At 50.0% G+C, this 13,769-nt stretch overlaps 1 protein-coding gene across 5 annotated transcripts in view, besides 2 other annotated features; it reads left to right on the top strand.

Annotated features, from left to right (window-relative positions):
• The window catches only part of KCNN3 (potassium calcium-activated channel subfamily N member 3), a 172,827-nt gene that overhangs the window by 54,166 nt on the left and 104,892 nt on the right, over nt 1–13,769 (top strand). The window lies entirely within an intron of this gene.
• Nucleotides 1,884–2,541: an enhancer, noted in NCBI's record as "NANOG-H3K27ac-H3K4me1 hESC enhancer chr1:154786051-154786708 (GRCh37/hg19 assembly coordinates)". NCBI's record gives its function as "activates a minimal SCP1, AML or CMV promoter by ChIP-STARR-seq in naive and primed H9 embryonic stem cells {active_cell/tissue: H9 hESC(naive and primed)}" and the evidence as "EXISTENCE:reporter gene assay evidence [ECO:0000049][PMID:30033119]".
• Nucleotides 2,542–3,201: an enhancer, noted in NCBI's record as "NANOG-H3K27ac-H3K4me1 hESC enhancer chr1:154785391-154786050 (GRCh37/hg19 assembly coordinates)". NCBI's record gives its function as "activates a minimal SCP1, AML or CMV promoter by ChIP-STARR-seq in primed H9 embryonic stem cells {active_cell/tissue: H9 hESC(primed)}" and the evidence as "EXISTENCE:reporter gene assay evidence [ECO:0000049][PMID:30033119]".

Here is a 13,769-nt window from a genome sequence, read left to right as displayed (position 1 = left end):
TTAGGTATATAAAAGTGGATATTTTCATTAAATACCAATAGAGTTCTGAGCAGACAGGGAAATTACTTGAAATTACAGGACATAAATTATAGGAAGCCTCACTTCCTGTGGCATAATTGCTCTGTGGATGGGAGTGTCCTCCTGGGTGCGTGTAATGTGCTGTCACAGGGACATGGGTGTCTGTAATGCAGGAGGTGTTGCTGGCCCAGGTGCTTTGGGGTCCCACCGCTAAATGAGTTAGTGGTGTCTTCCCCTGAAAGAACAGACAGGACAACTCACGTTGCGTCTTGCTCTGTGCCCTCACCCTCCCTTCTCCCTGTAAAAGAAAGCAGGCTCAAGTCACATCCTGAATGTAACCTGTAAGGTGTCCTGGCACTGAGAGACAAGGTATAATAGCAGAGCACGTACTGACCTCTCTAAATTTTCCAACCCTAGTACAGTCTATAAAAATGGTGAGTCCATTCATTCGTTTACTTATTCAACAAACATTTATTGTAGGACTACTTTGTGCTAGGCATTGAGAATCCAGAAATAAAGCAGACCTGATTCCTGCCTTTGGAAATTGGTTTGTCCTAGACCTTTATCCACTGTGACCCAGGGTCATAAGTGCCATAATATGAGGGTCTGTGAAACACCAAGTGGCCACGGAGGAGGGAGTGATGCATTTCTCCCAGAGAGGCTGGGCAGGTTTCACGCGGAGATGATGCTGTGCCCTGCATTCGCCAGGAGCAGAGACCTTGTATGCTCAGGACAAAGCTGGCCCAGAGCGTTTCAGGAGAGGAAAAAAAAAGAGAAGGAAGCTGTGCCTGTCCTCCGAAGGGAGGTGGAGGCTGCCCAAACCCCCCAGGTAGGGGCTAGAGTCCCCATCCTTCTTCAGACACCTGGTAGAGGTTTCCTAAGGGTGTCTCTGGCTGGTTGGTTGATGAATTAGAAATACCTTCATTGAACCTCCGAGATCTTGAGACCCCCAGACAGACTTCTCAGCCTGGCTAGGTTTGAGCATGTCAGCTCCTTAACTCAGGTGTGATGAGCAGATGGAAGGAGGGAGCTCGGGCCACTCGTACTGAAGGGGAGGAGACCTTGACAAGGAAATTCCAGATGGGGGCCTCCTCTGCCAGGTTTACATCCCTCTCCTGTCCCACTTTCATGAGTGTGCCCCTGGATGATCACAGCACACAAGGGAAATTGAAAATGGGGAATGTGTTCCAGAGAACAGCGACTGGTGATGGGGATTCACTGGAGCGCTGCTCTTCTTTGGGCCTCGGCCTCCTGCCTGGCCCAGCTGTGCACAGTGGGGCTAGAAAGAAAGGGAGAAATAGAGAGAGGAGCTACACCACCAACTGGGCCCGAGAAGTCAGAACACCATGGAATAAATCCTCGTCAGACTACACTTTGAAGACAGAAAGCTCAGAGCTGATACATTAGCAAGCGCCTCAGAGACGATGGTGTGGCCACATCTTGTCTAGCGCTTTGTATTTTTTAGAGGGTTTTCACATCTATGAGGCCTTGGGCCTGGCCGCCTTCACCTTTTTGCCTTTTAGGTTTCAGCATAGATATTTCCTCCTCCAGGAACTCTCTCTGGCCATCGTCCCCCTTCCCTGACCCCAGGGTGCCCCTTCTAGGAGTGGACCTAGCACCAGCTCTTATAGCAGCGGCTCTTACTTGTCCCTGCGTGTCTTATGTTGGTTGTGAATACTATTTCTTGCCTGCAACTCCCTTCTCTGACTGTGGGCTCCATGGCAGTGGGGACTGTATTGGTTTCACTGTTGGACCCCCAAAGGCATGAGAGTGCCTAGCACATAGTAGGTGCTATTCAATGAGTGTAGGCTGAATAAATGAATGAATGAATGACAAAACTGGGGTAGGCATGGCAGATTTACTCCCTCCTCATTCTAAGGAGAAAGTAGAGCCTCTAACAGGCTGAGAGCCTGACCTGAAGCCCACAGACCTGGCATCTGGCCCGTGCTTTCTGCATCCTAAGGGGCTGCGGGTCCCAGCAGGTTGCCCAGTGAGCTGGCCATGCCCACCATGGCCCTCCCTGCCACTCTCTGGGAGGCCCACCTCGATCCCAGCACCTTTTCACTTGGATCGGCCGCTGGCCATGGATTGCCATGGTTACTACACCAGCCCTGGCAGTCTCTGTGTGACATTTTGGTTTTATTTGCTAAACATTTAAACACTTGGGCTTAACCCTTTCTGCCTCAGAGGGGGCTTTCCTGCCCCTGCTCCCTGTCCCTCAGGTGTGAGGGCCCCCGGCTGCTCTCCCTGGCCCTGGCTGGCGTCTCCGATGGGGTGGGTGTGCTCGTGGTGGCAGCAAGGCTTGTTTCTCGGCTGCCTGTATTGACTTTCTGTTTTGTCTCTGGGGAATGTCATCCTGGATCATGCTCTCACTGGGTGGTGCTGTGTCCATTAACAGGTGTGAAAAGCCCTGCTCCGGGCATGTTAAGGCTTGACCTCCCCGTCAGCTGGGGTTCTGTTGACTTCCAGGCAAACGCCTCTTGCCAAGTCCTCCAGGAGCTTCCTTAGCTCCAGGAGTTCAGGACGGGGTGGGGAGGGGTCATCTGCCCTTGAACCCTGGCAGGAGGACAGAGGGGAGACTGGTTTCGGGAAGAGTCCGTGTTTGTGAATGGGAAGGCGGTGCGTCGCCTGGCCTCCCACGCCTCCTCCCCTGCGGGCTTAAGATGAAGCCTCCCAGGAAGAGGAGGCGGCCCGGGAGGCTGAATCCACCCAGCTATGTGTTACCTTGGAAACCACACACTTGTCCTCGCCCTAGGCCATGTGAAGTGAGGGGGCCGTGGACACGCTTCTCAGGAAGCTTCCAGTGTAACTCAGGATACAAAAAATCACAGTCCCAGCATGGGCAGCTGAGAGAATGAAAATGTTCAAAAAAAAAAAAAAAAAAAAAAAGCAGCCTAACAACTGCCCTGCCCAAGGGGCTCCCACCCCAGCAACCCTCTGCCCATTCTACATGGGACGAGAGGCCAGGGCCAGTTTGTCTGGGATGCTGATCACTTGTGAGCTTGGACAAGCTACTTGTTCTAGCTCAATCTCAGTTGTGTTGTCTGTAAAGTGGGCAGATTAGGCCAGAGGATCTCTGAGAACTCTGATTGTAGCCAGAATTCCATGTCTGAGGGGCACTGCCTGACAAGGAGAGGAAAATGTCGGGAGAGTGGCTGTGAGCGGTTTTTGGTAACAATGACTGACCTGGTTTGTGTTCAGGAGGCCCTTTGTGGGACTGTCCGAACAACTTCTGTCCCTTCTCTTAATAGCCTTGCCTCTGCCCAGTCACAGAGCTGGCTGTCCCCTAAACACAGCCTCAAACTTGACATAGAAAACAATAATAAAGACAGCTCTTTGGCTCCAACATCTTAAAGTTTAAAGGTGACTCCTCTTGAGTCTCTTACACACAGGAGCTGGTCAGACAGCTTAAAGTTTTCAGGATAATAGAGTAAGTGGCCAAGTCCCCTGCCTTAACAATCCATTCCAAACTCCTTCCATGAACGCGCACTCCCACTTCTCCAAAGTCATGGGGAACAAGTGCTCAGCTTAATAGAATATTCTGTTTCTCCATCATTCTCAGCAAACTATCGCAAGGACAAAAAACCAAACACCGCATGTTCTCACTCACAGGTGGGATTGAACAATGAGAACACATGGACACAGGAAGGGGAACATCACACACCGGGGCCTGTTGTGGGGTGGGGGGATGGGGGAGGGATAGCGTTAGGAGATATACCTAATGTAAATGACGAGTTAATGGGTGCAGCACACCAACATGGCACATGTATACATATGTAACAAACCTGCACGTTGTGCACATGTACCCTAAAACTTAAAGTATAAAAAAAAAGAAAAAAAAAGAATATTCTGTTTCTCTGAGAGTGCCAAGGTGTGTCATCCCTGACTTTTTCAAAGTTAATCCGTTCTATTTGGTTTTGTTGTTACCATTTTTCAATGATGATCATTTCCCCCGTGGCAGCGGTTCTCAATCAGGGGTGTGCCTCAGATCCCCCGTGTCATATCTGGGTCCTGCATAGGCAGGTGAACCCCACTGCCTGGGAATGTGTGTTTTGACAGCACCGCAGGGGGGCCAGTGCACACTCTTATTAAGAAACATGGCACTCAATTAAGCTCAGGGAGGCCAGCGTCTTCCCAATCATCCCTGCAGCCACCCCTGCTGTGCCTAACGAAGAGCACTGTGCATAGTAGGACTCAGTGACTCCTGGGGTAAGGATCATTGACTCTCTGAGAATTTGTAAAGTTGGAAGGCACTGTTGAATCTTTAGTGTTTGGAGGCTTCTATACAAGTGTTGTTGCATTGTGCTATCAAGAAAATTCTGATAATTCTAGTTTCCTGTTGAGTACAAATCTAGTAAAATGACATTTTCCTGTTTTTAAGAGAAAAAATGGCAAAATCACCACTGCTCAAATTCTCCAAAACCCAACAATTGGACGAGGAAAAGAGATGAACTGCCCCGATTTACCTTTGAATTAAAGAATTCGATGCAATTCAATTGAGCAGTTTTGTTTCCTCCAAAGGCATCTCCCATACAAACCTGTCCTGTTAGCATGATGGTGGGAGAGACACTGAGCCTGCGGTCCGTAGACCTGGGTCCAAGTTGAGACTTGTTCATTTAAAACACTTTTTAAACTTGTGGTAAAATATACATAACCTATAATTTAGCATTTTAACCATTTTTAAGTATATGGTTCAGTGACGTTAATTGTCTAATTATATTCTTATATATATATTTGTATCCTTATTATTGTATATTTGTCACCACCATCCATCTCCAGAACTGACTTTTGTCATTTTCTGTGTGGCCTTGTGTGCCTCCACCAAGGCTTGTGGTGAGCTCTCTTCGCACATCATCTCCACAAGCATCTCCCACTTTGTCAGCCCCTAAACTTACCTTTACCCTGTCCCATCGCCCTAACGTCACGGGCCGGGGTTCTGATTCCAAGTTTCGATTGGGGAAGTGGTTGGTAATCCCACAGGTGGTAATAGTGTCGCCTCCATCTGTTGATCTCTTGTGTGCTGGAGACTGTGCCTTTACTTTATCATCTCAGTGATTCTTGGCGACAGTCCCGTAGTTAGGCTCTGTATTCATACCCCCTTTATAGATAAAGCAACTGAAGCAGAGAAGGTAAGAGATGTGTCCACAGTCATGTGGCTGGTGAGGGCAGAGGGTTTTGAGGTCAACTGTTTGAGTTGACCATCTCCAAAGCTAGCCAGGTTGCCCTGCCTGGGGGAGAGAGGCCCGTCCTCAAATTAACTCTTCTACCCCTGGTTCCTACAATGGCTAGAAGCAGCCTAGAAGGTGGGCTGAGTCATGGGGACTTCCCTCCAACAAGGGTGAATATTAGGAAGCCTAGGGCTGAACAGTAACCCAGTGTTGGTCCAACCTTGCAGCAGCTCTGGAGGCCCTCATCCCAGCCACACCCCCACCTTGGCTGTGCCTTGTGGTGGCTCCTCTGCCTATTAAAATCCCTTCCTTCTCCTGGTTTCCCTATTGTCCTCCCCTTGGGTCCAAGGCTTGCCTCAAGGATGAGGCCCAGCACCCTTGGGGAGGTAGAAGGGCAGCCATCTCAGGGTAACCTGCCCAGCCATCAGAACTGGGACCCGCTTCAGTTTCTCTGCCTTGCCTTCTGATCCCAAGGAAGGCTAGGGTCTTCCTTGAAGCCTCACTGAGCCCCATACTGGGTCTTGTTCTTTCTTGCCTCCCTGCCTTCTGAGGGGCTGACTTCTACTTCTGCTCGCCTGGAGTCACAGTGTCCCTGATAGTCCCCAGGCCCTCAGGATCAGACCTGCCTCTAACCCCAAGCCATCATCTGCCTGGGCTGAGTCTGGTCTTTCCCTTAGACACTGTGCCTTGGGCTGCCAGTGGCCTGGGTGAGTCAGGCTTCAGCAGCTCTTCCTGTTTCCCCGCCCATATTCTCCCCTCCTTCTGCCCGTTCCTATGGTAAGGTGCCAGCAGCCTTCCACCCAAACTCCCCTAAGCTGGACCCAGGACTTCCCTAGATTAAATGCCCCCACTTCCCTGCCATAATCATGTCAATAATCCTGTTTCCACCCTGATCTTGCTACTCTGAACAGGATCTGCTTGGTCCACAGCAGCCCAGGGATCTGGTGACACACTGACCCTTACACACCACTGGGATCAGGTCAGTACAGAAGGCACCGACCTGCTTTCTCACTTTGTTACTGCAGCCAAAGACAGCCAGTGACTTTTAGCTTTCATGGTAGCCTGTTAGTTTATATTGAATTGAATATTTACTAAAACCCCTCTGTCTTCTCATGAGCTGCTAAGCAGCTCCCCACCCTCTGCCCCCTCAATCTCCCATCCTTCCTAATACCGTTGGCTTTTTAGGTGAGAACTGTACCTTTCATTTTCTTCTGTTACGTTTCCCTGCAGCTGTTTCAGCCCTTCATTCTAGTCTGTCCAGGCCTTTTAGCATCTCACTCAGCAACATGTATTTGGGGGCCTCCCAGCTTCCTGCCCTCCCACATGTGATGAGCCTGAGTATAATAGCTTCATCTAAACCATTGATACAAATGTCGAACCAGAAGTCAAATCTGGGAGGTAAACTTTCTTTGGTTGGACTAAAGACAGGAGAAGTAAAGAAGAAACTTCAAGGATTTGCAAATCTTTTTCATCTTAAAAGTTTTGTGGCCTCCTGTGAGGTTGTAGTTTTATGTGCCCTCCCACCCCAGCCCCCAAATAAGCCTGCTCTGCATTCATAGAACACGTGTTTATTGAGCCATGCTCTGTGAGGGGCACGGTGCCTGGTATGGGACAGAGCTGTGAACTACAGACTGGACCCGGTCTCGTGTTACTCACAGTCTGTGAAATGAAAGCGTGGCTGCTGGTGCTGGGGCTTGGCTGCTGGGGCTGAGTGTTGAGTCTGTGAAATGGACGGGTGAAGCCGTACACCTGGTCACTCGGTGAGATCACGTTGTGTCACAGGAGAGTGCTGAGGCATGGCCACCGTGGCTGGACGTTCTCAGAGACACTGCTCAGCCACAGCAGCTGGGCCTGGCTATGACCACTGACCTGTGACTACATCAGGCACAGCCACAAACCAGAGATCAGTAACCAGACACGGCGGAGCCATCCAGTGGGCGCAGAGCAGCCACCGCCTCTGAACTCAGAGCCACGAGGCGGCTCTGCGGGAGCCGCCCGACACCTGCCTGCTGTGTGATCGCCAGCAGACCCTGCCCCTCACTGCCCTCAGATCCCTCACTTGTGCATCTGGGGAGGAAGCTAAGGGCTCTCCAAGGTCCCTATCAGCTCTTTATGGTGCTTCTTGCTAGAATGTGCTAGAAACCATATCGATTTGAGAGCAAAGAGAAATTGCCACCAGTGGGTGTGTATGTGTGGAATGGGAGGCGGGGGAGTGGGCAGGGCGATATTTGTCTTCCTGCTGCTGTTAGAAATAGCAACTATTCTCTCCCCTGAGGACTGGACAAAAGGTGATTAATTCATTCAGCACAGAGCTATTGAAGGGCTGTTCTGAGCCAGGCACCGTGGGGACAGCAAGGTCCCTGCCCTAAACAGGCTTGTGATCTAATGGAGAGATAAGCACGCAGACACACACGCCTTGGCTGCTGGTGCTGAGGACAAGGGTGTGGAGGGCACGGCGCACAGTTCCACCTAGATGGGAATGAGGACGCTGCTGTGCAGGGCATCTGAGATGGTCATGGGGTCAGTTCTAGCAGGTGCAGGTGGGTCGAGGGTCCTCTAGGGGAAGGGACCAGCTCCAGCAGCTGTGAAGAATGCAGAAGCTCAGGGCTCTGCGGAATGGGAGGCATGCAGCTGATCGTAAAGGGAATGTTGAAAGGTGAGAATAGAAAGAAGGGCTGGAGCCAGATCCTGGTGAGCAGCAGCTGGAGCGATGAGGCACCCAGGTCTAAAATGGTAGTAGCCCCATTCTATCTATGAGAAGGGGTTGGGGGATGGCGATCTGATGGCGGGAGAGGGAAGCCAGGGAATTTGTCTTCAGGTTGCACCTGCAAAGCATTTTATGTAAGATGGAGAGAATGTCAATAGTCTGTATCAAAGACTGAGAGGTAAGAATGGGGATGGGAGACGGGTGTAGATTATGGTACAGGTTGAACCCCCCTCAATCACTGGGACCTGCTCTGACCTTAGAGTACAGGGTTGGGCTAGAGGAATGGTGGATGAATCTCCCTCCTTGGGAGATTGTTAGGATTAAAGATGAGAGCCACCTGGTACACTCTTGTTTAAGAGTCAGAGGAATGGAAAAACACCCCTCCCACCCCAAAACGCTGAGGTTCTGATCTCACTGACTGAACACCACCCAACCAGGAGCCAGGGCTTGAGGGCAGCCCGAGTTTGTCTTGCTCTGTCGGATCTTTTTGGATGTTTAGCAGGAGCGACACTGATCAGACTTCACAAGAACCTTAGGATTTTACAATTTTGCTCTTCCCTTATTGTTCACAAATCAAGCCTATGCCTAAAAATACACTCTTCTCCAGCAGCCTCGGGGACTTAGCTTCTCCCCCAGGCAGGGAGTTTACATCCTTCCTTTGCCTGCAGAATTCAACCTTGCAGGTTTGGTGGGGTGGCTGGAAACCGCCACCATCCCAGAGCAGGCTTCTATCCCCAGGGCCTGGCTGTCACCCGCAGCAGCAGTGACATCACCCAAAGCCGACTTTGTGCGGGGGGCTTCTGAGTGTTAAGTGGGCTCAAAAGGTTGAAGTGCGGGGGCAGGTAGGAGGAGCTGCGTGGCTTGGGAAGGAGCAGCTGGCGCTGTAGAGGGAATGACTTGCCCCAGCTGCTGTTGGGTTACGGGCTCGAGTTGTCCACAGCCACCAGGGGACATTTTTTCCTCTTCTCAGTTCCTCTTTGACCCTGCGCTCAGCTTCACCAAAACCACCTTGTTTCACCTTCTCTGTATGTCCTCGGCCTCTCCTTTCCTGCTTGCCTCAGTCTTTCCCATCTTTCAAATCTAAACATGTGGTGTCTGTTGCTGCGGGTTGACTGCATGTGTATGTGTGGTTTTCAAGCTGAATTGACAGGGCTGAGTTTTACAGCCAATACTGCCTGGCTCTGGAAGAAGAGAAAGAGGAGGACAATGAGGGACAGGATCTCTTGTAGCAGAGAACATTCTGATCCAAATGTCCTTTCAGGATAAATTTAGTTCCCGGGGCTGGGACCACATTCTAATTTGGTGGGAGTCCTTGGGCACCCTGGTGGGGAATGGCTGCTTCCTTCCTCACCTCCCTGGTCGATTTCAGGGACCGCAGGAAACCCAAGCCTTATGAACATTATACAGAACTGCAATTACAACAATCCTGAGCTGACATAAGATTTATTCATTGGGCACCAAATTTCCTTTAGGCCCCTTTCTAGTTTGTAGTTTTTGAAGCTGCTACATTTTTTATGGCTGGCACATCTCAAGGAGGAAATGCAGATTAATAGTCTGTACTGGCTGTGTTCTCATGCTCTCAGGATTGAATCAATAATGACTGCAGTATTAATTAGGCCTTTATGAAAAGAAAATGAAATATGGTATGACATGGAAGATTCTAGATTTAGAATCAAGAGTTCTAATCTCAGCTCTGCTGCCGTCTAATGGGTGACCTCGGGCAAATCACTGAATTTCCCTGAGTCTGTTTCCTCCTCTGTATAAACAGGTCATAATGCTGGCCACATGCTGATGTTGTGAGCATCAGCTGAGAGAGCTGGGTTAAAGGGCCCACCAGGGCCTGGCACAAACAAGAGACTTCGGTGACTTTAATTTTGGACTCTCCTTGCTAAGGAGATCACCACTGCAAATCCAGCCCTTTGCTGGTGCACAGTGGTGCAGCTCTTGCCTGTTCTTGGCAGCAGGTGGGGTACCCAACACCTTGAGATGAACTCTCCAAAGTCCTTGCTGACAATGTCCACGGTCCCTTCTTAGCTGGTGACCAGGAACACTCCCTAGGGGCCTCCCTTCTCAACCTTCCACTTCTCCTACCCATACCCCACAACGGCCCCATTTCCTGTTGTTTCTCATGAATAGAGTCTGGAAGTAGAAACACTAGTTCGTGCAGTGTTCACGGACATCACGGGGCTCTAGGAAGCCTCACATCACATCACTCTGACACTGACTCTCCTGCTTCTCTTTTCCATATTTAAGGATCCCTGTCATTATGTTGTGCCCATCTAGATAATCCAGGATAATCTCCCTATTTTAAAGTCAACTGATTAGCGGCCTTAATTCTATCTGCATCCTTAATTCCTGCTTATAACATAGTCACAGGTTCTGGTGATTTGGACACAGACATTTTGGGGGGCCATTATTCTGCCTACCACAATCCTCTATTTGTAGATGAGGAAACTGAGGCTAGGGTATTAGATCACATACCCAAAGTCACACAGCCGGTAAGTGGCAAGGTTGGAATTTGAACTGGAGCTGCACAATCTGAAGTCTACTACTACCCTAAAGGGCCCCCTAGAAACCCAGAGAAAGCTCATTCCCACAGAATGGCCCCAAACAGCCGACCACAGCGGGAGAAGTAGAGATCAAAAGAGCCCACCCATTGGAATCCCCACACACCGTTTTAGTTCATAATGCAGAGAAGAGACTGGTGAATAATACTGCATAAACTCTGAACCAGTGCTTCTCACATTTGGATTGAGAAAAAGTAGTTTGTAATTGCCCTGGGAGCTTTAAAATAATACTGGTGCCTGAGTCCCACCCCTAGGGATTCTGATTTAATTGCTCAATTGCTCAATTGCTCAGGGGAGGCATTGAATAGAGGCGATTTTTCCAAGCTCCCCAGGTGATTTGAAAGTGCATCAGAATGTGAGAATCATTGCCCTGAACTAACCCATGGCCACAGCCATTCCCCCTACCTGACAATTGTGTCCATAGTCTGATTAGACCATGCCCAGAACACACCCCTCCCACCTTTTGGGCCTTTTCCCTGAACGCCCAGGTCCCCCTGTTTCCTCTTCACCGCCTCACTCGAACCCTGACTGTGTGCCGAGCAGCATTAGATGTGTAGAGAGGACCCTCCCATGGGAAATGGGGCATATTCTCTCCTCTGGCATCTCTCACGCCCCTCTTGCATGGCTGTCTGCAGAATAGAATTGTTTTAATGTCCTCTTTGTATATGCTATATTTCTATAGAGTCTTTCCTTGAAAATGTAATTCACTATGTTTTCGGTGTCTGCATCAGTTCAGCTTGAAAGGCAGTGTGTGCAGAGGGTTGGAGGTCTGACTCTGGAGCCAGACTGCCTGGGTGCAAAGCCGAACCCTGCCAGTTCCTGACTGAGCTTGGGGTGAACGATTCTAGCTTTCTGTGCCTCAGTTTCCTCATCTATAAAATAGGGATCAGAATAGCCGTTACCTAGGGTTGGTGTGAGAACTAATGCTTTCATATATGTAAAAGGGATTAGGACTATGTATTTGCTCATGTTACCAGTATTGCTACTACTCTTGTCTTCACCGAGATCTGTGGGATTCAGTTAATTTCAGCAGATACCGATTCCCTACTCAGTGCCAGGATGGGAAAGAATAAGATGTGTTCTCTGCCTTCAAATAGTTCATGGTCTTGGGAGGGAGAGGGCTGGTAAGGAGAAGGGAAGGAGTCAAATAGGTGAACAGCTAATTAATGATATAATACAGTGTTGACTTGGAACCACGTTGCTGTGGAATAATAAAGATGGGGACATCATGATGTGGGGATTCACCATGGTCGTGAAGGCATATCATGAATTCTAAGCACTAATAAAAAACTCTTAGTGCGTTTTGTCCTGCCATCCATCCGCATTTGCGAAGCTGTGGGCTGTAACACCCTGTTAAGCCCCTTAGACTCATTTCATGAGTTGTGAATTCGAGCCAATTGTGTTAGTGTTTGTGAGTGAACGCATTAATCTGAAAGGTGTCAGTGGCATCCCAGTTCCTGCTGCAAATGCCCCTCACAGGGAGAGGAACGGGGTGGCTTTCTCCAAGAAAACAGCCAGTCTCTTCAAATCCTAGCCCTACCCTCCTTTCAAGGTGCATCCCAGAGAGCGGCTGGAGTCCACTGCAGAGGGTGGTAAAGGAGGACGTGTCATGCCAACAAGGGAGCAATGACAGCAATCAAAAGGGACATCCAAGGAAAATGCAGAGTTGCACGGGGAGACGGGGTCTTAAAAGCCCACACAGGCAGGGATTGGAAAATGTTCCTCTGGGAATGCTCATGTGGTAAGGTGGCCATGGGTGAGTGGGAAAGGAGGGAGGGGTGAATCCTTGGTGTGTGAGGCTCTGTAGAGAGAATGGTTGCTGCCTGGGCAGATGCCTCCTTCCTGTCCCCTCCAGCCAAATGGTCACACATCTCTCGCTCAGATTAACAGCTTGCTGGCCGGTGTGGCGGGCAACTGTAGGAATCTCCGTCAGCTGTGGGAACAGCTGTACACTGCCCAGGGCCACATCACACCCTGGCATGTTTCCCATTCCCTCTTGGTCAAACACACTTAAAAACAGGACTCAACGCTCCTTGGTTTCTAACTGTAAAATATGCCACGTGAAGGATGCAAACTCATGTCTGCCTGGGGACTACAGTGGGGCAGGCAAATGTTTGATGGGCTTGTGAGTTTTTGTGTTTTGAAGAAAAACAACTGTCTCAAGGCAGACAGATGTTGATGAACGTGTTTATTTATAAAGGGCTTACTGAGCTAATAATGACACCAGATCATCCCCAAATGACAGGTGTCACTGCTGACCTATAGCTCAGAGTGTCACTGCCTCTGTTGGAGCAACCTGCTCCATACTGCTGGCCTTTTTCATCTGCAGCCCAGTGTTGCTTGTGGCAAAATGTTTACAGTAGCCTGGGGCTTGCGTGAAAGCCTTGCTAACCCATCCCTGTGCCCTGCTAGTGGTCAGAAATGTCTGTTTTTGTTTCTAGGCTTCCAGAGTCACTAGGACTCTGGGCAGGGAAGGAGGGCCCTCAGGCTCATTGGTGTCTAGGGCCTGGGGGCATTTTTGAGCCACTTCACAAAGCCTGGCCACAGTCTGAAGTCCAGTACATACAGCTGCAGCCCAGGTGACTCCATGGTGAATTGCTCCATCCCTAACATAAGGCACTTGGCACAGCCTCAGTGAGCTATGAGAGAGGCCAGAGTGGGAAGGTGTCATGCACGGCGTGAAAAGGGCCCTCACAAAGACAGAGAGCCTCTCCCCTCCAACCAGGCAGAACAACTAAGTAGAAAGGCTGGTGCAGCTGGAGAATATGGCCAGGAAAGGAGCCTAACAGTGACAGCCAGAGGAAACCCAGGCCGAAGCCACTGGGCCTGTGTGGGTCTGCCTCTTGGATGGGGCTCCATGCACACCCATGTTAGTAGGTGGAGCTGTGTGGGAACATTCAGGTCCCTGGGGTTAAGTCTCATGCCTAGCCCTGGCTGGAGGGTTTTGATGAATGGATCTTTTTTTTTTCTTTAATAGTGTAGAAATTGTATTTTGCCTCATATTCTTGGGTTATCCATATTAGTCTGCAGCTGTTGGTCTTCCTAAACCATGACTGAGTAGGTCATCCTCTGTTCACCACTGGTGATTTCTTACCATCTGGTGATTTCTGGATAATGCTGAGCCCCTGAGCTTGGACATCAGGCTCTACAGCAGGGCTGGGCTCCATACTTCCTGGGCCCTGCCCCTGGCCAGCTGCCCTGAGGTCACTGAACACCTGGGGTGAGAATAGATCTTACCCACCCCTGCTCCCTGTGTTTTTTCAAACTCCCCTCCTTCCTGGCTCTGGAGTGAGCTCCTGGGTGCGGGGT

The sequence above is a fragment of the Homo sapiens genome, chromosome 1, assembly GCF_000001405.40.
Source record: "Homo sapiens chromosome 1, GRCh38.p14 Primary Assembly".
Lineage (NCBI taxonomy): Eukaryota > Metazoa > Chordata > Mammalia > Primates > Hominidae > Homo > Homo sapiens.
The sequence above is the reverse complement of the archived record's forward strand: the minus strand, read 5'-3'. Positions and strand labels throughout refer to the sequence as shown.